At 32.4% G+C, this 25,634-nt stretch overlaps 1 protein-coding gene across 17 annotated transcripts in view, besides 1 other annotated feature; it reads left to right on the plus strand.

The window, feature by feature from the left end:
• Positions 1-25,634, plus strand: part of NCAM2 (neural cell adhesion molecule 2) — a 544,921-nt gene that overhangs the window by 355,216 nt on the left and 164,071 nt on the right. For all 17 annotated transcript variants that reach the window (NM_001352592.2, NM_001352591.2, NM_004540.5 and 14 more), the window contains one exon: positions 20,239-20,389. In NM_001352592.2, the coding sequence (NP_001339521.1) occupies positions 20,239-20,389 (151 nt within the window). The remainder of the gene's footprint in view (positions 1-20,238; positions 20,390-25,634) is intronic.
• Positions 11,190-11,762: an enhancer, noted in NCBI's record as "OCT4-NANOG hESC enhancer chr21:22737134-22737706 (GRCh37/hg19 assembly coordinates)". NCBI's record gives its function as "activates a minimal SCP1, AML or CMV promoter by ChIP-STARR-seq in naive H9 embryonic stem cells {active_cell/tissue: H9 hESC(naive)}" and the evidence as "EXISTENCE:reporter gene assay evidence [ECO:0000049][PMID:30033119]".

Genomic DNA, 25,634 nt, shown 5'->3' on the forward strand with positions numbered 1-25,634 from the left:
AAATATAGATTTCTTATATCATCATCTTTTTCTTCCCTTTCTCTCACATCTGTCTTGCCTAACTCCTTCAAATTTTTCCTCTGTGGGAAGTGAGTCAGTTTTTTCCTTCTTTGGGCCATTATACACCTTTCACATTTTATAGCAGTATATATTGATTTGGAAAAGATTCTTCAACATTCTAAGAAGTACCTAAATAGGGCATTAAGGTAGGAAAAAAAGAACATATTGTGCTCCACAAAACAAGTTATTGAAGAATGCTTTGTTCTTCATCTATTTTTCAAACTATGTTTTTATATCATATGATAAAACTGGGTGTTTTTAGAACATTTGTCTAAAAATGCTATGTTACTTGTCAATTTTAGTATTAAATTGAAGTAAAAAGTTCTACCGAGGGAGTGATTTTGCCTCTAGAATTCTTACAAAATGATAAACATAACAGTAAGTAATTTTATGTATATGAATATAATGTTTTATATCATAAATATAAAGTGCTTATTATATCATCTAGCAGATGACATCTCCCTTGTATCATTTATCATCTCTTAAGAAACAGAATCTATAATTACTTTATTCCTGTTATACTTCTCCTACGTAGTATAGACCTACATCCACTAGAAATTAATCCCACTGTACATTGAATAAGTATCTGAAATGTACAGCAATAAATTATAACTATCTTAAGGCAGCATTTCTCAACTTCAGTCATTTGATAACCAGCTTCATCTCTTTTCTGTATTCATGTGCTGCCTGAACTGTTACATGTCCTCTTTCTTCTTTAAATTGAATTGTTTTTATTTATTCTTATCTGTACCCAAATGATCAGTGAAATTAAAAGTATGATACATATGCCAGTTATATTTTTAAATGCACATTAAAATTAATACAAAATATACAGTACAATTGTTTTTCAAAATATTACCTAACCTCAGCGTATCCACCCTCCCCCAGTGGTTCACAGATCACATTTTTAGAAATTCTGCTTTTGTGTCCAAACATATTTTGAATTAATGTGATACAAAATTTAGCTATGAAATATTGAGTGGGACATGTTTAAAGATGTTGTAATTAGGATAGAACCTGTTTTCCATCCTCCTGTTTGTGGGTCCATGCACTTTTCTCCAGTAAATAATATGCTTCACTTCACTAATGGGCACTGAGTTTATTCACAAATCATTGTAAAAGAAACTCATTTACTTCCAGTCCTTAGCACTAAATGTTCTTTTAGGATGAGACCAATAAACTGAATAAATAAAACAGCGGGATAAGCTTTAAAAGCAATTTCTTCCCTTTTTTCTGCTAAAGTGAAATAATAAAATGCTGGCCTTGGTCTTAGCCTAGATCACCTGCATAATTTGTAATCAAAATAGTAGTATTTTTTGTGATTTTGCATTTATTGAGAAAATGTGTCTTTCTGTGTTAAATAAAATAAACTGATTCAACTTTAATTTTTGTACTGTGAGTCCAGTTTTACCTTCTCTTCCTTCCAATAAATAGATGTATTAAAACTGAAATTTAAGATTATTTCGTGACCGGGCATGGTGGCTCAAGCCTGTAATTCCAGCACTTTGGGAGGCTTAGGCACATGGATCGCATGAGGCCAGGAGTTCAAGCCCAGCCTGGCCAACATGGCAAAAACCCATCTCTCCAAAAAATACAAAAAATTAGCCGAGCCTGGTGGTGTGCACCTGTAGTTCCAGCTACTCGGGACGGGGCCGGGAAAAGGGGGTTGCAGGGGGCTGAGGCAGGAGAATCACTTGAACCCAGGAAGCAGAGGTTGCAGGGAGCCGAGGTCCTGCCACTGCACTCCAGCCTGAGTGACAGTGACAGACTGAGACTATGTCTCAAAAAAAAAAAAAAAAGGAGAGAAAGAAAGAAAAGAAATAAGGGAGGGAGAGAGGGAGGAGGGAGGGAGGGAGAGAGGGAGGGACGGAGGAAAGAAGGAAGGAAGGAAGGAAGGAAAAAGATTATTTATTTGAATTTTATTGCTGTTATTATTATTATTATTATTTAAGGCGGAGTCTCGCTCTGTCACCCAGGCTGGAGCGCAGTGGCACGACCTCGGCTCACTGCAACCTCTGCCTCCCGAGTTCAAATGATTCTCCTGACATAGCCTCCGGAGTAGCTGGGACTACAGGCGCGTGCCACCACGCCTGGTTAATTTTTGTATGTTTAGTAGAGACCAGCATGTTGGCCAGGCTGGTCTTGAACTCCTGACCTCAGGTGATCCACCCACCTCGGCCTCCCAAAGTACTGGGATCACAGGCGTGAACCACTGCTCCCGGCCTTAATTTTAATTCAAAGTAGGGATAGTCACCTTTAACAATTAATTTCGCATCAACACACACAAATACACATAAATTGTAGTTTTACCAAAGTGGTCCTTGCTGTTTCCGTAGTGTAGAAATAGTATTTCCTCCACGAATTTAGACACAATGATCTGAAGAATACATACTTAAAATATTTTGCAGACTAAAGTACCAATTCAAAAGGAATTTCTCTCAGGAATAAAGATAGGCAGTTCCTTAAATACAACTACATGAATAAAATATGATGCTTTTAAACTTATAACAATTTAAATATCTCACCACGTAAATATTTCTTACAACACTGCTGCATTCATTATTATATTATTGTTTTATTCTCAGTTATATTATTCTTTATTATATACTTACAAATATTTTATTGCAATTTAATATTGTCATTTATGGTTCGCGGTTCCTACTGTGGATTTAAGCAAACTTTATATTTTAAAAATTATTTATTTAAGCCAGGTTTATTGGAAGACAGAAAACAATGGAGTGAACTTTTCACAATACAAAATTCTTAGATTATTTTTATTTATAAAATGTGAAGATTACATTATATTTTTTGTTTCTTTTTTTATTCTTAAGAAAATGTAACTTCTGGAAAATAAATTTTATAAAATATAAGCAGTGACTTAATCAGTCATAGTAATTTATGTAACTAACATTTCCTTTATTACTAACCCCAATTCACTTAACAACTATCAATAAATAATGAAGACTTTTATATTGGCATGTGCTAATCTAGACACAAGGAGTGTAGCGCTAAAAATATAAGTTTCGCCAGGCACAGTGGCTCACGCCTGTAATCCCAGCACTTTGGGAGGCCAAGGAGGCTGGATCATCTGAGGTCGGGAGTTCGAGACAAACGTGGCCAACATGGAGAAATCCCATCTCTACTAAAAATACAAAATTAGCAGGGCGTGGTGGCACATGCCTGTAATCCCAGCTACTCCGAAGGCTGAGGCAGGAGAATCGCTTGAATCCCGGAGGCGGAGGTTGCAGGAGCCAAGATCGCGCCATTGCACTCCAGCCTGGGAAACAAGAGCGAAACTCCATCAATAAATAAATAAATAAATAAATAAATAAATAAATAAATGTTTCTTGCTTCATGGTCCATGCAATTTAAGAGGGGAGATGAAACTAAACTACATTTAAAATTAGTAGTCATTTTTTATGAATATACACTTTTGAAATATGCAGTTTTCATATACAAAATACCAGTTTTGAGTATACAAGTGGGCTTTCACAAGGTCACAAATATAGCTTTGGCATATTTCTTTACACTTACACAGGCCCGTTCAATGCGTATGCCTCACAGTCCTCTTTTTCAGTGTATTTTGCAAACTCTATCACCAAAATATCTCCTCGTAATTTGTTTCAGGCTGACAAAAATTACTTAGACTTTGATTATAAAAAATACAAAACTTAAAAAATGTGTAACGGTATACTTAATTGGAAGCATCTTTATATTATAGGGGGCATTTTAAGATTTTGAACTTCCTTTTTTCACCTCAAATAGAAATCACCAAAAGGAAACCAACAAATCCATAATTATTGATTTAAAATATGGAGCCTGTAGCATTTCAAATATCTGCACTTTTAAAAAAAGCTCTGGTGAAATGAAAAACTAAAATATAAAAAAGTGGCATATTTATAGCATTGTCTTTAAGATTGAAAGACAGTATGTAAGTCTTTTTTTTATACATCCTTGTGAGTAGTTATACTTCTGGGTAAATTTTTTACAACTTTATTTTTATTACTTATATGAGGAATTTTATTTCTACCTTTTTACCAAACCCTGAAGGTGCATTCTGGGATGCAATTATAGACAATTCTTAGTGTTTGATTCTAAGACAAATAAAAAAACAAATAATACAGAACAAAAAGCGAAGAACAAATGTCAAAGAGATAAGTTTAATATAAAAATCAAATAAATAAACTTAATAAAATACTTTAGCAAATAATTGAAGGAACAATAATATGTTTGTTCAGATATTTTAGTCATACATACAGCCGAACTAGACACATTGCTTACTTACTGTGCATGGTAGTACATCAACAGGGTTGTAATTACGAAAACGCATAGAATTTGCAACAGAGATTATAGATAATAGCATGCATTACATTCCAAACAAGAGAATGTCTATTCCCTTGAATTTCTCTAGCGTAATCTGCAAGATCATCAATGTCTAAGAGAAAATATTTTCATTCGATGTGATGTTGCCGTAGAGGATCTCAAATAATCTATATTTCCCTGATATTCTGTCTTGTTTAGGATTTAGATCTGTGAGTTAGTATTCAGCGTAGTGGGACTAACTCACTTTTGTACGTAAGAATCACATAAGGAGCTGTATACAAGTAAACCTGACTGAGCCTCACTCCCTAAGATATAACTGCACCTACCTTTCAGATCTTTTGATACACTAACTTTCAGTGGGGATTAAAGAGTTTCATTTTGAAAATGTCCAGAAATGGTTCTTGTGTATATGCCCTATAGAGATCCTGTCTTTGAAATTACTTTATTTATTCTATCACAGACACACACACATACACTCAACATACAAAAATACACGCACATCCACTTTCATGAAACATTTGTTACTTAGAAAAATTATTACGGTTTTGATATTAAATACAACTACATATAGAATAAGTTACATAAAACAAATTAGTTCATATGACTCATGTCTTCCTAATCATGATAGTTTTGGCATTCCAAGTTTATATAAAATAGAGCTTAATGAACTAGTATTACGTGGTAGTTTTAACACTGATTTATCTGCTCTGTGATAGCAGGTAAATTGTTATAACTTTTTCTGGTACAAGTCTACCATTTATAAATAAGTTTCCTTCAATCTGCAACATCCCCTTATTCTGTAAGTCTTCCAGTTGGCTCGGTAAATATTACAAATTTTTAGATAGTTTTTAATTCATATAAATTTGATATTTACTAACTTTTTAGTTGATGATTTTCTAATAACATTGTATAGTGAGGGAGTGTTTCTTCAATTTTCTTCTGTTTAGCTTTCCATATAAATCAATTAGTAAGGAAAGCCAAGGTTATTTGGATAATGTCTTTAAATTGAAAACAAAAGTCAACTTCTGATTGTAGAGAAGAATGCTGAACAACATACCACCAGTTCCTGGCACCTGTAGATTTTCACGCTGTGTGTGTGTTTTTCTTTTTTCTTTTTTCAACAGAGATAATGGACTTTTCTGAAGGATTTTTTATTTGAATGACATTTTAAAGATCTACCTAATGCATTTTTTCATACTAGTGCCCCAAGAGCAATAATATAAGTCCCTGCTGGGCAGTAGGCAAAATGGATACTTCTATTCCCCATCTGATGTAGGTGGTAGAATATAATTAGGCCTGTTAGAAATCTTCCTTGATGCTTCTGAGCTTGCTGAGAGGTGGATTTTCAATCATTTACAACTTTCTGAAATCTTTTTCTGTACACAGCTTGAATAAAGATTTTCAGAAAAGTCTAGTCATATGTTGAAAATGTCATTTTAAAAATTGTTTTTGAAATAATTCTAGATAATATTTTTAAATTGAATATGTCTTTTTAAAAGCATCATTTACTAATGAACTATTATTTTGAAGTCTATAATAAGACCTTTCACTTAAAAAAACTGTCGTCAGTTTTATAAGATAATGTGATAGTAGTTTACAATTTTATGATAGTTGTTTGGGGGAAAATGTTATTTATATACTAAAAGTGATTTTAATAAGGCTTTGCAGCAAAACATATATTATTTTCTTCTTATAAATACCATATTCTACATACAGAATTCAGTTAGCATTTACATCTGCTTATGAAGTAGTCGACTACTACACTTGAAGAAAATATAAAATCGTATCACTATAAAGAAGTCTAAATATATCAGTGAATATTAATAGACTTAACAAAAACAACAAATTTCTAGTAATGTAATTTGAGTTAGGTATGTGGTATTCTAGTGAATAATGTTAAATTGTTTAAACAACAAGATTAAATAAATTTGAATGAATGTATGTACAGCAATGCATTTTGGTTCAATTTTTAAAAATATATAGAAAAACAATTTGAATAAATTATATACAAGTAAGTATAGTATCTATGAAAATATCTGAGCAAACATTTTAATAAAAATTGCAGCAAAAGAATACATTTGATGAATTTCATTGTTGAGCTTAAGCATGCAACAAAAACCAGTGCGTAAGATAATACTGCTTTCACAATAATTAATTAATAAGATGGAATCCATTATAACAAAAATTGCCTTAACACAGAAGTTGCAATGGATTCATTTCTCTTGACTCAGGGATTGACATAATACATTTAAAAAAGATATATTCAATGAACATATTCATTTATAAGATCAACCGTATGTTTAGTAGCTGTGTTTATAGAGGGTGAAAAACTCTTAGGTAAGAATCTTTCTTCGCTATGATATTATATTGTCATGATCTATCTCTTATGATAGCATCAATGCTTCTGTTTTGTAATCCACAAAGTTTTTGTCTGACTATCTAAGTCTTTCTTTCTCAGAAGTTACATGATTTTTAGATTGACAATAATATATCTACTTATAAGATAATGTATTTCATACTCTTTCAAATAAGTACGAATAGTAAAATTCTAGTATGCATAAATCCTACCATTTTACCCCTGGTTCATAGCGCTTACCTTGTTCACTCCTTTCAATCACCAACTTATATTTTACTGTCTATTACAATAATCAGTGCATTATGTATATGCCAGTCTTTTTTTTTTCGCTTAAAGAAACATTTCTGGCAAAACACAAGTCATGGTTTAATTTACTTTTCTCCTCTTTCTCCACATGCAGTAGCACAGCTGAATATAGCTGAAGAAAATCCCACAGTAATTTTAAGTGGTCTGTATTTAAAATTATGTTCCAGAACATAACGTAAATTCTTTCTGCTGCCTAGAACTCATCCTACCTTTTCTTGGTTCATTTTCTTGACCACTGTTTTAGATAACTACTTCATAAATTTTTATCTATTCTCAAATTTACAAAACTCCTCTATCATCAAAAAGCTCAGCTGATGATTCACTTCCTCTTTTACTAATTAGTTGGAAACAGAAGAAAATCTTAATAAATCCTGACTACTACACCTGCAAACATACCCAGTGGAACCTGTATGTTACCATGAATGAAATATCTGAGTTTTCATGTGGAGTCTGGATTTCATCCACTCTAACATCAGTCCAGTAATTCATCTCCCTATATATAATCATACCTCATTGATCATTACCATAACTTTTAAAGCTATTCTTATTTCTCTTGATACACACACACACACAAACACATACACATCCTTCATACGTATGTGTATATTTATGTGTGTGCCTGTTCTTCCAATTATCTCTTGAACATACTCCAGTTAGATTTTACCACTCCACTGAAACTCTCTGGCAAGCTTACCAATAACCTTCACTTTATGAAACCTAATGGTTGACCTAGTTAAACAACCTCTTCTGTTTGTACCATGTTTTTTTTGGCTTCTAGTGAACTCTCTTGGTTTTTTTCTTACTATGCTGTTCACTTCCTCAATCTCTTTTGATCATTCTTTGTCTTCTAATTGACATCTAAATAATTGGGCACCCTAGTCTGCCATTTTTTCTTGGATTTCTCTAATGATGCTGAGTCCTTGGTGATTTCATCTAGTCTTACGGCTTTAATGATCAATTGGATTCTGTAATCTCCAAATTTCAACTGTGGACCTCTCTACTGAACTCCAGTCTTCTATGTCCAATGACTTACCAGACAGCTTCACTTGGATATTAAATAAATCTTTCAAAGTTAAAATATTCAGTTCAATACTGTACTTCTTTTTCCCCTTGATTTGCTTCTCCCTCAATCATCCCATTCTCATTAAGTGGTGTCTTTTTCTGTTTAGGAAAATGCTTGAAAACATCTTTGGCTTTTATTTATTTTTATTCTGGCTAGAAATACATTTTTTAACTGTTACTTTTGGTTCAGACATACACGTACAGGTTTGTTATATAGGTAAATTGTACATTGTGGGGTATTGAAGCACAGATTATAGAAATTCATATTTTTAGCAAATTTTATTAGCCCTACTTTAAATATATCCATAATTCAATTACTTTTCAACAACCAGCTGTTACTGCCTTGGCCGAAACCATTGTTACTTGCCTGCGTTATTTCAGTAACTTTTTTTTTTTTGGATGGGTTACAGACCAGCGTTTGCTTTATTTGAACAGAGTTTGAACACAACAGTGAGTTCTTAATGCATCCACCCTTGTGCCTGTTATTTTCATTAAAATGGTTAGATTGATTCACCTGAAACAAGCCATATAATATAAATGTTCTGTTCAAAAGCCTTTAATAGTCTCATATAATTTGGAATTCTCTGCTCTTATTTAATGGCTTTACATGATAGACCACTTTTCCATTTGCTGTGACAACCTGCTTTTCCTCATATTCTACTTTTTTTTTTTTTTAAACCTGAAACAGGGTCTTGCTCTTTCACCCAGGCTGAGTACAGTGCTGCAATCAAGGCTCACGGAAGCCTTGAACTCCTGGGTCAACCAATCCTCCCACCTCAGCCTTCTGGGTAGCTGGGACTACAGGCACATGCCACCATGCCCAGCTTATCCTACTCTTAAGATCAATTAATGAATCAATGAAATTTCATGTTTCCTCCATAAATCCTAGGGCATTGCAAACTCTTCAGTGGTAATTTATCCATTTAGAAGACTGCAAATTGCAAGTCTTAAATTCAGTAAAAACTATTTCAAAACTTTAATATGCTTACTGAAGTTTCTAATTATTTTTTGTATTTTCTGAGAGAGTGCTTGAACTGTCAAACTGAAATCTATATGATAGACTATTGATTTTTAACAGGTAATAACTATGAATATGTTTAGGTTAATTGTTGGATTCTTTAGATAAAAACTAAGGATAAAGTTCAGTCCACTGTCATTCAACTTACAAAATGAAAAGTCAATGTACATGACACACTATAGTTGATTTTCTATATGGATATTTGCATTTAATTCCGAAGTTCACTATACCCAGTAGAGTGACAAGAGCTTTGATAATACTGGAACCAAAATTTAAAACAAAACACAAATTTATATTAAATTTTTAGTAGCATATTCATTGATAAACATATGAATAAATAGATGTAATTTTTGATTGATTAGTGAATAATTTGTTTATAAACTAGAATCTCTTTTGGGGCCAAATGATAGAGAAAGTGATAATTAACATATCATACACAAGTTTATAGAAGCAAGAGATTAAAGAGCAATGAAACTGCATGCTTTTATTGTGTGTATTATAGAGAACATTTTGGAGATTTATTGTGACATAACTACCTCTTTCTATGTTACTGGAAACATGGCTAGCTTTGTTTAGATCAGCATCATAAGTTGTCATATTGCAGATATTACCACTAGGTAGAATACTTTTTAAATACCCACTCATACAATTTGCCTCAATTTTCCCTGTACTATAAATACTCAACACTTTTCATACCTGCATATCCCAACACAGTATTACAAGCTGGAAAAAGGCTGTTTCTCATCATTTTTATATCTTAGCAAAGATACATATAATTTTCTAGACCATTTCTGCTTCGTGGGTCTTTAGCTCCCCTGTCACCAGACTTACCTTTAATGAAAATATCCATAGTGTTTTATTAATCATCTGGTGATTGATATACGTTAAAGATTCATCACAGTCTGACACATGATTTTCTTTGATTTTTTATAGAAAAGGTATCATATAGAAAATATACTATTCCTGGTACTGTTTTAATTATTTTTTTTACAAAATCCATACTCTATCAATGGTTTATGGTTGTTGCAGCATTGTATATTTTATCCCACACTGGGAAGGTGTTTTGATAAGACTCCTGATTTTGCTTAAAAAGCGTAACATTTTATCAACATTTCCAACTCTGTTTCTCCTATACATTATTTTATCTTAATAACTTCTGTTAGATCCTCTCTGAAGAGTTTCTTCTCTTTTAATTGAAGGCTTCTAACAATCACAAAAAGCTTGATTTGTATATAGAGTGTTTGTATAAATTACCTGTTCTTCATGGAGGGTTGCTTTACACTAAGACAACAAAAAGCAAAATCAAAACTGAAAAGCAACTCAGTGGAGTTCATCTATTTGTTTTCCACACTTTTAGTTTTTAGCCACTCATCTCTTAGAGATAGGTTGTTTCTATGTCTCTATAACAAAAATAATTTGATGAAATTGCGGTTTTCAGATTTTAATTTTTTTAGTATTTTGATGTTTCTTTCATGTTCTGTATAAAATATTTCCAATAAATATAGGCATATTTATTTAAATATAAATCTGTTATCAATTATACATGAGTTAACAAGACAGCCTGAGGATCATTCAAAGCTCACAATATAGATATATTTTACCCTTCTTGAACTTCTCACCCAATGTGTAGTTATAAGGCATCATGACAAATAATGCATATGAATCATTCAGCATGTCTCCATATTCAAAATAAAACATATATTTGCTATAATAATATCAGCACATACAACAGTAATTATACATATAGACTATATAAGATTTCTTATACATCTAATGACATAGGTATGTTAACATGTATTTAGCATAATGTGATTGTTTAAAAAGAAAATGTATGTGTAGCCTGTATATATACATATATACACATGTATATACATGTATATGTATACGTATACATAAATATGTACATATACATATACACATACATCTATATATGTATATATTGCCAGATACTTTTAATTTTATGGTATCAGTCCAATAAAATTAATACTTTGAATAAGGATGTGTTCTATAACATAAGAAATCTCATATTGGTGACAAAATGTGGTCACTAGATGTCACTGACATTAACTATGGAACTAGTGACAATTTAAAATACTTTTTAGAACTTCCATAATGGATGAAGTGGGGCCTGATTTGCACAATGAACTTAAAAATCCTCAGCAACAACAAAACAAAATGTACAATGTGATGGGCAGCACATTGATCCCCAAGAGAAGAGAAGCATGTGATGTAAGCTCCATTATTGCTCAAGCCTACTGCCTGGAGAGAGATTTCAGGCGGGAGCACAGGGATGAATGCTTCAATTGTTTTCCCTGTTAGGAGACAGTGTTCTGAGTTTGGGTGACAACGTGTGCTGGAATTCGCACAGTGGGGTAGCTGAAAGGGCAGAGCCCTGTGGAGATGACAGAATTTCACACACACACAGAGAAATACCTCCGGAGATCTTCAGTGCTTTCCGTTGGAGATTTGAGCTAATTATTGCTTAGTGCGTGTGTGTGTGTGTGTGTGTGTGTGTGTGTGTGTAAAAACAATGCAAGGCCTTGGAAAGAATCATTGGAATGCTAGAACTGTTGCTTTGGTTGTGTGGCCAAAATAGCCCTAAACTAAAAGTTGTTCCCAACTCACCTAACAAAGCTTCAAAGCAAACCTCAAAGGAATAAAATTGTTTTCAAGTAACTTAATGTCTCAGAAGAGAGACTGGACATACATAAAGGAATACAAAACATATAGCACTCAAAATATATCAGTTACAATGTCTGGCATAAAATTAAAAAAATCGTGGCATATGCAAGGTGAAAAAAATAACCCATAATAAGAAAAAACAGAAACAGTATCAATAGAAACATACCATCGATGACATACATGATGGTAGTAGGCGAGAACACTACCCGATCAATTGTTTTAATGGGCCCTGCATATGTATTTAGAAGATACAGAAAAGCACAAGCACAACAAGGAGAGATGCCGATGATATAAAACAGCTCAAATAAAAATTGTATATATTGAAAAAACAACATTTTCAATACTGAAAATGACCTTGGACGGGATTAGTAGCATAGTGGATACTGCAGAAAATGACTAGCAAAATCAAGACATAGCACCATAATCTATCCAAAGGTTAAGTGCTATGATTTCCTTTTGGGGGAGTAGGTACCCAGTAGTGGGATTGCTGTCTCGATTGATATATTTAGTTCTTTGAAAAAGCTTTGTACTGTTTCCCGTTTTAGGCAGGAAAAAAGGTGAATATATCCTTTGACCTGAACTGTGTCTTTTCCATGCTGTGAGTATGGGGTGGACAAAGGCTCAGAATGGGACTTTTATTTGTTCTGGTAGATAGAGCAAGAAGCATAGAGAAGAATGTTCCCAAAATATTCTGAGTTTCTTCATAGTGTATTTACTGTATTTTTCCACTTTGGGAGATTTACGTAAAAACATACTAAAGGACAAGCGCAATGACTATAGTTAACATTTGTTTAATAGTTATTATACGTCACATATTGTTACAAGCATATCATATGATATTGTAGCATCTCCTGTAGGATATTGTGCTTCTTGCTTAAAAAAACAACCTCTCATTTGTCTGTAATTTGAACTAGATTAACTATACTGCTTAGGCACTGGGTACTAATTATATCACTGATTTTAACAATATTTATCATGTACCTAGCATGGAGCCTGCCTAATCTTATTTAATTCTCACCAGATGTGGATTAAAGCAACCAGCACTAAATGAGTGCATTAGTCCACTTGTGCTGTCATAATTCTTCAGTAAAATGTCATCAAAATCTCAGTAGCTTTCAATACAAAAGTCTGTAGGTCTCTTTTAAGTATGCTATAGCAGCATGCTCTAGACCTGAGTCTGGTTTCTGATCTGCTCCACATATTCTCTTAATTCAGGAAACAGCCTGCAGGGAAAATCCCATCTGGGGTGTGATGTTTGAAAATTTCCATGATAAAATACAAAATGTAATTTTACAAGAAGACAAGTACTAGAGAATAGTGTCATCAAATCCCATGTATATGTCACCCAGCTTCAATAGTTATCAATACTTTTCCCTTCCAATTCACACGTTTTAAGTATCACACTTTATCTGTTTTCCAGTAGGGAATTTTGACTTTGTATTAGATACCAAAACATTTTAAATTTTCGATTTTAAAATAGTTGATCCATATGATGTATGACTCCCTCAAAACCTTGAAACAATGCAGTCAATACTTACTAATGACTAGTTGTATGACTTGAGAGCAGTGTGGTTTAATAACATGGTATCGCTGTTCACAGGGTGAATTCAATTATGTGGCATACATTATCACCATATCTCTGACCATATTATAACGCATTTTTAAAAGGAAGAGCTTCATAATATAATTTGGCTCATTCTTTCAGATTTCTCTTTGCGGTTTTCATAGTTTTGTGACATGAAAGTAAATTTTACAAGATGTACATTTTAGATCTGACTATCTTCTTGGCTTCTTTATCTATTGGTGATTTTTTTTATAGATTTAGGGGGTACAACTAAAGTTTTGTTACATCGATATATTACATGCTGGTGAAATCTGGGCTTTTATATTCACCATCATCCTGATAATGTACCTTGACAAGGAGTTATGTGAAATGTTTTATTATTTATTATAGCAGTTGTCTCCTCCTATAGTAGTTATTTGTCCTAATTGTATTTTGTCTTTTACTAAATATATTATGTATTGGCCATGGAAAAATACTATAAATTATTTGCACGTGGTTCATGGGATCAAGAGAAAAGTCTAGCAGCAAAATAAACTGTCAATTAAATAGAGTATGGGAAAGTTATTATTTTACTTTGAGATGGAATATATGTAGAATGCTTTTGGAAATCACAATGAAATAGATGGGTGTATGAAACTCATATTTATTGCTTAGATCTGCATATCAGTAGCTTTAGCCAATTTATTATGTACTTTACAGATGCTAAACTCCAAATATTCACTCATTTAATCTGCATAGGTATCCTTTGAAATCTGTATTCTTATCATACCCATTATACAGAAAAGCAAACTGAGGTACCACTAAGTAAAGTAGTTAATCTCAGGCTTTAGAGATTATAGGTGCCACAGCCAGGATATAAGCCTATCCATTCTGGTTCTGCAATTTATGGTCCTAACTATTATATTACATTAAAGTAGGTAGGATGCCTGTGCAATAATATAAATACTCAGGTCATGTTTTGAAAACCAGCATTTTGACAACTGTCTGTTGGAACCCACCTAGTCTCTAGTCTCATGTTTTAAATTTAAAAATAATAATCTCTAAAAGGTTTATTCTACTTAAAGCTTTATTATCATAATATTTTAATTTTAAATATTATTTTTAAAGTATTGAATATGAAATACGGAATAGACTTTATACATGTATTAAAATATGGGTACTTATTTTAAAATATAAATGTATACAGCCATAGTATAATTTTATGTAGAGGTAACAATCTACTAATGTAGATAACATTTTATACCTAAAGGGTCTGTGACAGAATGCAAGAAATATTTCTTTTCTCTTTTCTTTCATCAACACTTTCTCATTTGGTCATTTACTAAAAACACTTTCACTTCCACCTTAATATATTTCTGGAATCCACTCACTCTTTTCCATTTTCACTACCATTACCTTTCCCAGCATGTCATCAGTGTAATAATGTATTTCCAGTTGTTCTCCCTCCCCCACCATCTTAGTCTGTTCACGCTGCTATAACAAAATACTGTAAAGTGGCTTATAAACAACAGAAATTTATTTCTCACAGTTCTAGAGACTGGGAAGTCCAAAATCAAGGTGCTAGCAGGATGGATTTGAGGTGTGCTGAGGGCTCACTTTGTCAAAGATGCTGTTTTCTTCTTGTGTTCTTATATGGTGCATGGGACTAGCTAGCTTTCTGTGGGCTCTTTTATTGGGCACTAATTCTAATAACAAGGGCTTTACCATCATGATCTAATCAACTCCCAAAGGCCCAACCTCCAAAAATACCAGCACAGTGGGGCTTAGGATTTCAACATATGAACTTTGAGGGGACCCAAACATTCAGACCATAGCACCCTCTCTAATTTACTTTTTTTCCTGCAGTGTGAGTGATCTTTTTAAATCACAAGTGCATCTACTTTATTCCTCTGCCTAAAACCTATCCTGTCCATTTCCAATTGTTCGTAAAACACCCAATAACCTTCAACTGATATTTACCTTTTCACAGTGTTATTTATGTATAAGTCACATAGCAAACAATTCACCCATTAAACTGTGCAATTAAAAGCCTTTTTTCCTAGAGTTGTGCAATCATAAACACAATCAATTTTGGATCATTTGATCACTTCTTTTGGTCATCACCCCCCAATCTCCTCACCACCACCTCCCATTCCCCTTGCCTGCCCTAAGCAAACATTATTCTACTTTTTTGTATCTATAGATTTGCCTATTCTGGAAATTTCAAAGAAATTGAATTATTCAATACTAGTCCTTTGTTATCAGCTTTTTCCTCTTACTGTAACATTTTCATGATTCATCCATGTTGAAGCATGTGTGAGTACTTCATTTTGGTTTTTCTTTGGCCAAATAATATTCCTTTGTATGTTTATACCACTTGTTTTTTTCAATCCATGCACCAGTAAATAGGCATTTCAGTTGTTTTCACTTTTTGACATTATTAATAATGCTGTCATTAGCATTTATGTACAAGTTTTTGTGTGGACATATATCTTCATTTCTCTTTGGAATGTAATTACAATTCTCTGTTTAACATTTGGAGGAACTGTCAAACATTTTATACAAAACATCTGCACCATTTTACATTCCCACTCACAGGGCATGAGGGTGCCAATTTCTTCACATCCTGGCCAACATGTGTTACTATCTGACTTTTTCATGGTAGCCACTCCAATGAATGCTAAGTGGTATCATGATTTTGATTTAAATGTCCTTGATGGCTAGTGAGTTTCAGCATCTTCTCATGATCTTATTGGTCTTTCTTTTGCTTGGGTACTTCTTATTGTAGTCTTGTTTATTTCTCTAACTCTTTCATATCTTACCCCTTCAACCTCATATTTAATTTGATAGTTCCAGTGAGCCCCTTTAAACTCTTTCAACACAGCTTTTTTTTTCCTCAAGTTCAAGCCCACACAGTTACCATTTTTTTCCTACTTTTCTTACTTTTTTATTGGTGAGGGCTGACTTTGTAGGGGTACAACTCATGCAACTGCACAGATTCTGCACTCTTTAACGACCCCAAGTTTGAGCTAATATGCTGCAGTCATCGTCATCTTGGCATTTTAATAGTTTTTAAATAGAAACTCCCACATTAAATTTTGCAATTGCCCCCTAAAATTACATAGCCAGTACAGTTCCTGACTTATCATTTTGACTTGTCCTTCCGTTTTGGCATAAATACCTACGAGAAACTCTTCCTCACCTTTGTCTACCAAATTAGGTTTCCTTTCTGAATGTCATCTATATCAGCATGCATTATAATTTGTCATTTTTTCCTCTGATCCTTATGACCTGAGAGACCAAGGGCTTTGCTTTCTTACCCATTTTTCTTTTTTTATATGTAAAAGTAAACGTGCTAATTTATTCCCATTAAAGCATCAAAAATAAATGTTTTGTGTCTAATTTTTGAAACCAAATATTGTACATGCCATCAAATGTTTCAAACATCTTATTGGCATGTTTTGGTGTTTGAAATCCTCATTTAAAATTGAATAACATATTTTAAAAACAAAAATTAGAAAAATCACTAATGAAATAAACACATTTAGTAGGTAAAAATGCCCACTTTTCAATTTGAGTGAATGCATTTTTCTAGCCCCAGAACCCAGCAAAGTGTCTATTACATAGCTGCGGTACATACATAGTTCAAACTCATAGTTGCTACTCAGGTGGTAAATCATATATCAAAAATAATCAAACATGAACTCCAGGGCTAGACAACCTGGTCATTCAGCTGCTAAAGCTTATAAGCTGTGGGATGTGGGCTAGTTATTGAATATTTTTCAATTTCCTCATCTTAAAATGGAAATACTAGCCTCAGCCTCATAGTGATGTCATGGAGATTAAATACACTAGTAAATGTAAAGCTTTTTGGATGTTGTCTAACAAGTATAATTTATCATATGTATGTATTGCCTTTTATAATTATTACATTCAATTCCTATTTGTTGAATAAATTTTTTATTTTATTATCAAAGAAAAGAGAAAGACAGGAGGACCTAATAAGAAAACTACCTAAGTGAAGAACTTTGATTGCATGTATTTATCTTTCTGACATCATTTACACTGCTGGGTGAAATGGTAATTATACAAGAGGTCAGCTCATGAAATTGAAATAAGAGGAAGATTAGAAAGCTAGGAGCAAATCCAGAGGAAAGAACATTATTGCTAATAGTAAAGAGAAGAAACTTACAGGGAGGGAAAACAGTATTTCTGTTTAAAATTCTTAGTATGACTGTAGAAACTGGTGGATTTGATACATTAAAACAGTTTTGAGAAGGTAGTTTGGATAAATTAATTCTAATAACCTTTGGAGAGTGTTGGTTTTTCTGTCTACATATTTAGCAGTTATGCATTGTCTTTACCTCAGAGTATTTGAAGTTGAGTTTACTTACTCGATAGAGAAATAATGCCATTAGGAATGAGGCAAACAGAATACCTATAGAAGGCATCCACAATGGGGTGCATATTCTTTTGTGTATCTGCATTGATCTTGCATTCTGCCTATGGTCCCTATTTACCTGTCCATCATCAGGAGAACCACATGACCCCACTGTCTTCTGTGCGTATTCTTGCTTCTCTCATATCTTTCTTATGTCCTCTTAGGGCATCTGCCTGGAATTCTTCCCTCAACACCACCCTTCTTTCACTATTTACAGATCACAATCCACACTTTGGTTTGTCAGGAAACATACCTACCCCATTCCTCCACTTACTCCTAGAAAGATATAGTTTGCCTACCTGGTGCTTTTCACATTTATTTGAATTGTACTGTAAAATTAGTATCTATCTTGTTTGTTTAACTTTAATGCCACCAAGGGTAGAAACTATTACAGTTTGCTCAGCACTGCATCGCAGTGCCTGGTTGCTTATTGTAAAATAAATGCGCGTGCACACACACACACACACACACACACACGCTCTGACACAAAATAATTGTTGAATGGTTAAGTGAGATGATCCATCAATCTCCCAAAAGGCCAAAGGATTTAATGACTCTAAAAGTGTTCCATGACACAGTAGAAAGAATAGAAAGTTTTGGAATACTGGCCACCTCAAATGTGCTGTGAACTCTAATTGGATTCTAAATTTGACAATAAACGTCTAGTCAGGTGAGGCCACAAAAAATAACCTATAAATAATGACACATTATATAATTTCAATTGTTTGACAATTAAAATTGTCAACAAAAACTTTTAGTTGCAAATAAACTCAAGAAGTGGTTATCACATGGATATTTGATTAAGGGATTTTTGAAAGGACAATAAACTCTAAAAATAACCATATTATAAAAATATTGAAATACCATTTAAATAAGCAATTCTTAAACTGACCTTCTAGAAGGGCAAAGAACATAACATCAAATCAAATTTCAGAGAGTGCGTTTTTGTAAAGGATGGAATAATAATGTACAGTCAGACACTTTGTTTTCTAATCATCTTACTTAATTCAGTGATAGAACCTGGAAATACTAGATAGACAGCAAAAATGCTCATTAACCTGTCTCAATCAAATATCAGATGTCTTAAATGAATCTTTAGTAGGTGTTGAATCAGAGCCAAGATATAAATGAATTTTCTTTCAGATATTTGTAATGCGTTTCTGTAGCACAAAGAGACATGTCCTTTAGAATGTCAGAAACGAAAATAGAAAATGACCTTGGACTTTTAGTGCAAGTATTTGACTCAAATGCATATTGTGCATCATTACAGAGCCAGTGATGAACCTGAGAATGGCTTCTAACTTTCCTAGGAATCACACACTTGGGCACAGTGTCTGTTTTTCCAGAATTTATGTTAATAATTTCAGGTATATTGATAATAACTTTTAAATGCAAACATTTTTACTAATAACATCTATATACACCAATAGTTTTTCACAAGTCAAAGCCATGTCATGTATAACAGGTAATTACAAGAGAACATGTTTATTTTCAAGCGAAGATCATGTAACTTTAAAATTTACTTTTCAATACTGTGAAATAATTACGTTTCCTTTATAAAAATGAATAATTTGCTTTGCATTATTAATAATGTATTTTGTTGTTATATTCCAATAAAGTTAATTAAGTACAAGTGCTTAACTCATAGTAAATAATAGCTGAAGGAGTACATTTTCTTTACTCAACTGCATGTAAATTTCACTATAACATAATTTGCTTTCTAAAAATATTAGAATATACTGTTTCTGTCCTAGAAATTTAAGTGACTTTTACGTGAAGTACCATAAATATTTTCTTACATTTGTTCAACTATACTATCACACTATGGGATGAAATCTGAAGTTCCAGCAAGACTTTAGTAAAAGCAACTTATTCCAAGAAAATTATGTAGTTCAAATAAGTCATAATTATTTAGGCAATCAGGAACTATTTTTAATACAATATGAAATTTTGCCAGTAACTTAAAGGATAGAAAGTAGGATGTTGCCATGTAAATATAGAGAGAAAAAAAGGGGAAAAGTGTAAAACACGTCTGTGAAGAGTGTTTATTCAAAGCACAGGATATTGTGGAGAGTACAAGTAATTCAAAATAATTGGAATTGACGGTATCCAAATTGTAAAGTGTGCTTGGACAGAAAGGTGATACCACATGAGAGATCTTTAAACATCAGGCTGAGTGATTGGGTTTTGTTTGGAGTCATTGAAATGCTTTTTATCATTATACAGCCAGGGTACAGGAAACCTTCATGAAGCTATGAGAATGTAAAAAGTGTGCTTTTTAAAAAAAACTTATTCTTAGCTATACAAGAAATACTTTCTACATCAGGAACAGTTTCTTTTTTCTTTTTGCCAGAGAAACATGGGAAGTAACATAATGTTATATGTTTGGTCACCATTTTGCACACACAAGCATAAAATCTTTCTTTTTCCTGAATCGATGTAAACAGAGCCTGGACGGCCGTATCGAAGTCAAAGGGCAGCATGGAAGCTCATCACTGCATATTAAAGATGTGAAGTTGTCAGATTCAGGGAGATATGACTGTGAAGCTGCAAGCAGAATTGGAGGGCATCAAAAGAGCATGTACCTTGATATTGAATGTAAGTTACTTTCCTTTGTATTTTCATTAAAATAACTTTGCATGCTTTGAAACATATGATTTTTCAATAAAGACCAAAATATATATGTAGTTCACATTTCAGTACTTAATGCATAGCTTTAGAGGAAATATAGGAATCATTCAGTCAGTTATTGGAGACATCTAGTGGAAATTACAGGATATTTCACAGTGCTGTATATTTCATCATTTTGATATTGCTTTTCCTGAAAATGGTCTTTCTTTTTTTGCAACATTGAACTCAAAACACAGTATCAACTGAAAAATATTAATTATCAGTAATTGGTCGATATCACTTTAGATTTTTTATTTCTTTATAATATTTATGATTATGTCTCAAATATGTAGTGTTTACATTTCTTATTCAAATTGTTTTGTTAGGCTATTTTACATTTTCATAAACTATAAAGAGTATTTTAAATGCAGTGAAATGTACTAATATGCTGTCTTATCAAAATAGTGTTTATTTTCTGTCTGGAAGAAAGGAGCATGACAAGGATAGTTTTTAAAATAAATTTAAAAATGTACATAACCACGTGAGTTTTGGGAAATGGGAGGGCTAATGTAAGTCAAGCTTTCACAAAACCCCTCTGGTCACTGCATGGAATTTAAAAATAATTTGGTATACATGCTATTTAAAAAGGAAGAAACTTAACATCATTCTCAATAAATATTTATGAAGCATCAATATTGGAGAGTCTCTGATGCTTGAAAGGACATAGCTGTTCTTAGTGGAATGTATGAGATATTCTTATTGACAAAATATTTCTATTGGAGCATGTCTAGTACATTAATATTGATAGAATGCAATGGTAACTGTGAAACAAGATGCATTCTCTTATCGAGAATGCCTTCAAAAAGAAAATATTTTCTCAAGAATAGACATAAGTTATCCATATTATTTTACATTTTATAGACTGTGCTTGTCAAGAAATTCATGGAAAGACCAATCAGAAACTTCTAAAAGAAAAAAGGACTGTTGTGGGGTTGGGGGAGAGGGGAGGGATAGCATTAGGAGATATACCTAATGCTAAATGAGGAGTTACTGGGTGCAGCACACCAGCATGGCACATGTATACATATGTAACTAACCTGCACATTGTGCACATGTACCCTAAAACTTAAAGTATAATAATAATAAAAAGGAAAGAAATTCCCATAATAGGATAAAAAGAAAACAAAAACAAAAACAAAAAAAAAAACACCCACTGATATATTTGTTAAACTATACAATTCCTGGATCTGTAACAACCTTTTTAAAACTATTCATACAGTTGTTGGAATTTACTAAACTTCGTAACTAAAAGAAAAAAAAAGAAAAAAGGATTATGAAAGGCAGTCAACAATAAAAGGCAACTTGATTCTGACACAAATTACTGACTTCATTTGCTGATATTAGGCAGCTTCTAAGAAAGCCACTTTATTTCCATCACACTTTCTAAAAAAATAAAAATGGAAAGCATTGATAATATTGAGAACACACAAAGGAGGAAGTGATGCCAATAACTTACTTAACCTTTTTCCCTTAATAATTTTTTCTACTTTTTTCCATTATTACAGTATATTTCTTTTTCAGACCAACAACATCATTAGCAAATTATAAATACTTTACACTTTTACAGTACATTTGTTATATTTTTAATTAAAATTTGTTTATTTAAACCAAAATTTACTTTATGATTTTTTTTAATTTTTCTAAATGTGAATCTAAATGAAGAAAAAAAAAACTTAAGCATGCCAAGATATGATTTATATGAGACCTCCTGGCCTCTTCCACTGTCCTACAAAAGTGCTAGGCTGCTAGGCAACATATTATCTTAATGAAACTATATTTAGGACTTTTATTCTTTGCATTTCATTAATATTTTAAAACATTTGCTGTATCATAGGATTAGTACTAAATGTCTGTTGCAGGTCCTCAGAAAAGTGGAGTTTATGAGAAATGAACACTATGGATATTTCCAAAGCACAGTAAGGCAGAGTGGCTCGTACAAGATATGCTAGTATTAGAATAATAGGACTAGCTAATATGTTAATTAATAGTGTGTTATGTGTCCCTGAGTCCTCAATTTCCTTAGTTATAAGATAAGAGGGTTTAAAGAAGAGACTGTTGGGACCTATTTATACTCAAGCATTTAAAGATACTTTTATTCAAGCGTATCCACATTCTCCAGAGATGCCCTGGGATTTCTGAATTATTGTCCATGCATGACAGCATAGGTATTTGTGTGAAACAAATGAAAACCGAAATTAAGATTATAATTCATATATGTTTATGTTGTAAAACCTCACTGAAAATAGTTTTAAAAACCATACTAGGTCCACCTTAAGCTTCAGGTTTTGTGCTGAGTGATAATGGACACAAAGATGAATAAAACATAGCTCCTCCTTTATTAGAAGTCTACCATCAACAGGAGTTTAAATTAAACCGCAGCATGTATTCAGATTTCAAAGTGAGAATGAATAAAATATCAAATTAATGTAAAATGCTAATACATAATTACATGAGATTTTTAGTTATTGGTTTTAGCTGGGTAGAAAATAATGGGATAAACAAACAACTGTATATTGCAATTTGAATTATTTGCTCTTGTAATCTATTAATACCATGAATTAATAACTTTAATACGAAAAAAGTACATTGGGTACTTTATTTTTCAAGGACTGATTTCTAACAAAGTACAAGTTGCTTTTGATCACATTGCATTCCTTCTTTATAAGTTTAAATATTGGTTTATGTTTCTGCTTAATTATTCCAAGGTAAATGTGCAGACTTAAGCTCACCAGAAAATTATGTAGTTTAGTTTATCTTATTTAAACAGGGATGAAAGGTCTTGTTTTCTAAAAGGATGTTTTGAGAATTATTTGAGTATCCCCTGAGATTATTATTGCCGCCATCTTGATTAGAGGGTAGCTAGATTAATATACATTGAAAAAAATTTTCTTACTATTAAACTTTCATGTAAATATAACTACTTTTTGTTTTCCCTAAGCATTGATTATTTTTCTGCAAATATTGTTGAAAATGAGTTGAATGGCTCTTATAACACTTGATCATTTTTCCTTTTTTTCCAAAATGAAACATTCAAATTTATTCTACTTGAGTGGGGATAATTAGAAAAATAAATATCATCTCTTGTTAAGACATTATTCAAATATATTTAAGTACAATAAAAGCCCATATATAATGTAAAATATGAGTTTTGACCTATGTATACACCACTAAATCTATAATAATCATCAAGATAAACATTTACATCACCCTCAAGAATTTTCTCAAGTCACTTTAAAATCTATCCCTCCTTTTTACAACTATCCCTAGGCATCCATTTATCTACTTTTGATCACTACAATTTAGTTTACATTTACATGTAAGAATGTATATACATAGAGTCATGCAGTATTATTTTTAATTTACTTTATTATCTTTGAAATGTACTTATTTACTTTTATTTAGTTATAGTTGACAAATAAAAATTGTATATATTTAAGGTGTACAAATGTGATGCTTTTAAAAATTTATCATTAGTATTATTTTTGATTGGCCAACAATAATTGTATCCATTTATGGGGTACAATGTAATTTTTGTTATATGTATATAGTGTTAAATGATTCAGTTAAGCTCATTAACATGTCCATTACCTCACCTACCTTTTTTATGGTGAGACATTTAAAATTTACTCTTAGTTACTTTGAAAAGCACATTATTGACTGTAGTGATCCAGCTATGCAATAACTCTCAAAACCTATTTCTCCTGTCTATCTGCCTGTCTACCCTTTGATCAATAACTCCCCATTTCCTTCCTTCCCATGCACCCACCCCAGCCTCTGCTGACATCATTTTACTCTGTTTCTGTGAGTTAAACTTTATAAGCTTCCACAGTTAAGGAAGATTATGAGGTAGTTGTCTTTTTGTGTTTGGCTTATTTAACTGAACACCAGTGTCCTCTAGATTCATCCATGTTGTGCAAATGACAAGATTTATCATTTTTTAAATGCTCAATAGTATTCCACTGTGTATCTATACCACATTTCCTTTATCCTTTCATTCATTGGTGGACATTTAGGTTGATTCCATATCTAGGCTGTTGTGAATAATACTGTCATGAACATGGGACTGCAGATACCTCTACCAGGTACAGACTTTTTTTTTTTTCCTTTGGGTATAAACCCAGACAAAGGATTCCTGAATTATAAGGTGGCTCTCATTTTCTTTTTGGGAGGAACTTTTATACCACTTTCTATGATGGCCATGCCAATTTACATTCCCAACAAGTGTTCCTTTTTATCTACTTCCTCTTCAGTACTTGTTATTGTTCATCTCTTTGAATAAAGCCATTCTAATGAAGTGATTTTTCACTCTGGTTTTAATTTGCATTCCCCTAATGATTAGTGATGCTGAGCACTTTTTTAGGTACTTGTTGGCCATTTGTATGTCTTCTTTTGAGAAATATCAATTAAAGATAATTTGCCCATTTTAAAATCAGGTTGTTTTCTTGATATTGATTTGCTTGAGTTATTTGTATATTTTGAATATTAACCCTCTATCAGATGTGTGGTTTGCAAATATTTTCTCACATTATTTGAATTGTCTCTGCTGAGCTTTCACAGCTGGCATACATTCGCATGTATATGTGTGCATCAATAATTTATACTACTTGTTCCTGTTATTACATCCTACAGATATAACAGAGTTTGTTTATCTAGTACCTATTGATGGACATTTTACGTGTTTTTAGTTATTGACTACTATGACAAAAAACTTCTGCAAAGATTTTTGCAGATTGTGTGGATATATAAATACTATTCTCTGGAATAAACATTTTTGTTTGATTTCTTCAGGTAAATTTTTCAAAAGCAAAGAATTATAATTTTGCTGTCGTCTAGTTTATTAAATTTATCAAACTGGACTTTTACATGTTATACGGTTCGTGTTTTTTCTGAAAAAATATTACCTAATTTAAGGCCATGACAATTTATGTCTAAGCTTTCTTTTTAAAGTTTTGTAGATTTTGGTTTTACCTTAGGGCTGTTATTAATTTTGAGTTCATTTTTGTGGAGTAGGTGTTCATTATTTTTCCATGTTTATTTCTAGTTGATCAAGCACTAGTTAATAGAAAGGACTTTTCTTTTTCTAGCTAAGAGTTTGACAAAGTTGTTGATCTTTTCAGAGTGTTAGCTTTCCATTTTGTTAATTCATATTTTCTATAATATGTCTGTTTTCCAG

Source organism: Homo sapiens, chromosome 21 (assembly GCF_000001405.40).
Source record: "Homo sapiens chromosome 21, GRCh38.p14 Primary Assembly".
Classification (NCBI taxonomy): domain Eukaryota; kingdom Metazoa; phylum Chordata; class Mammalia; order Primates; family Hominidae; genus Homo; species Homo sapiens.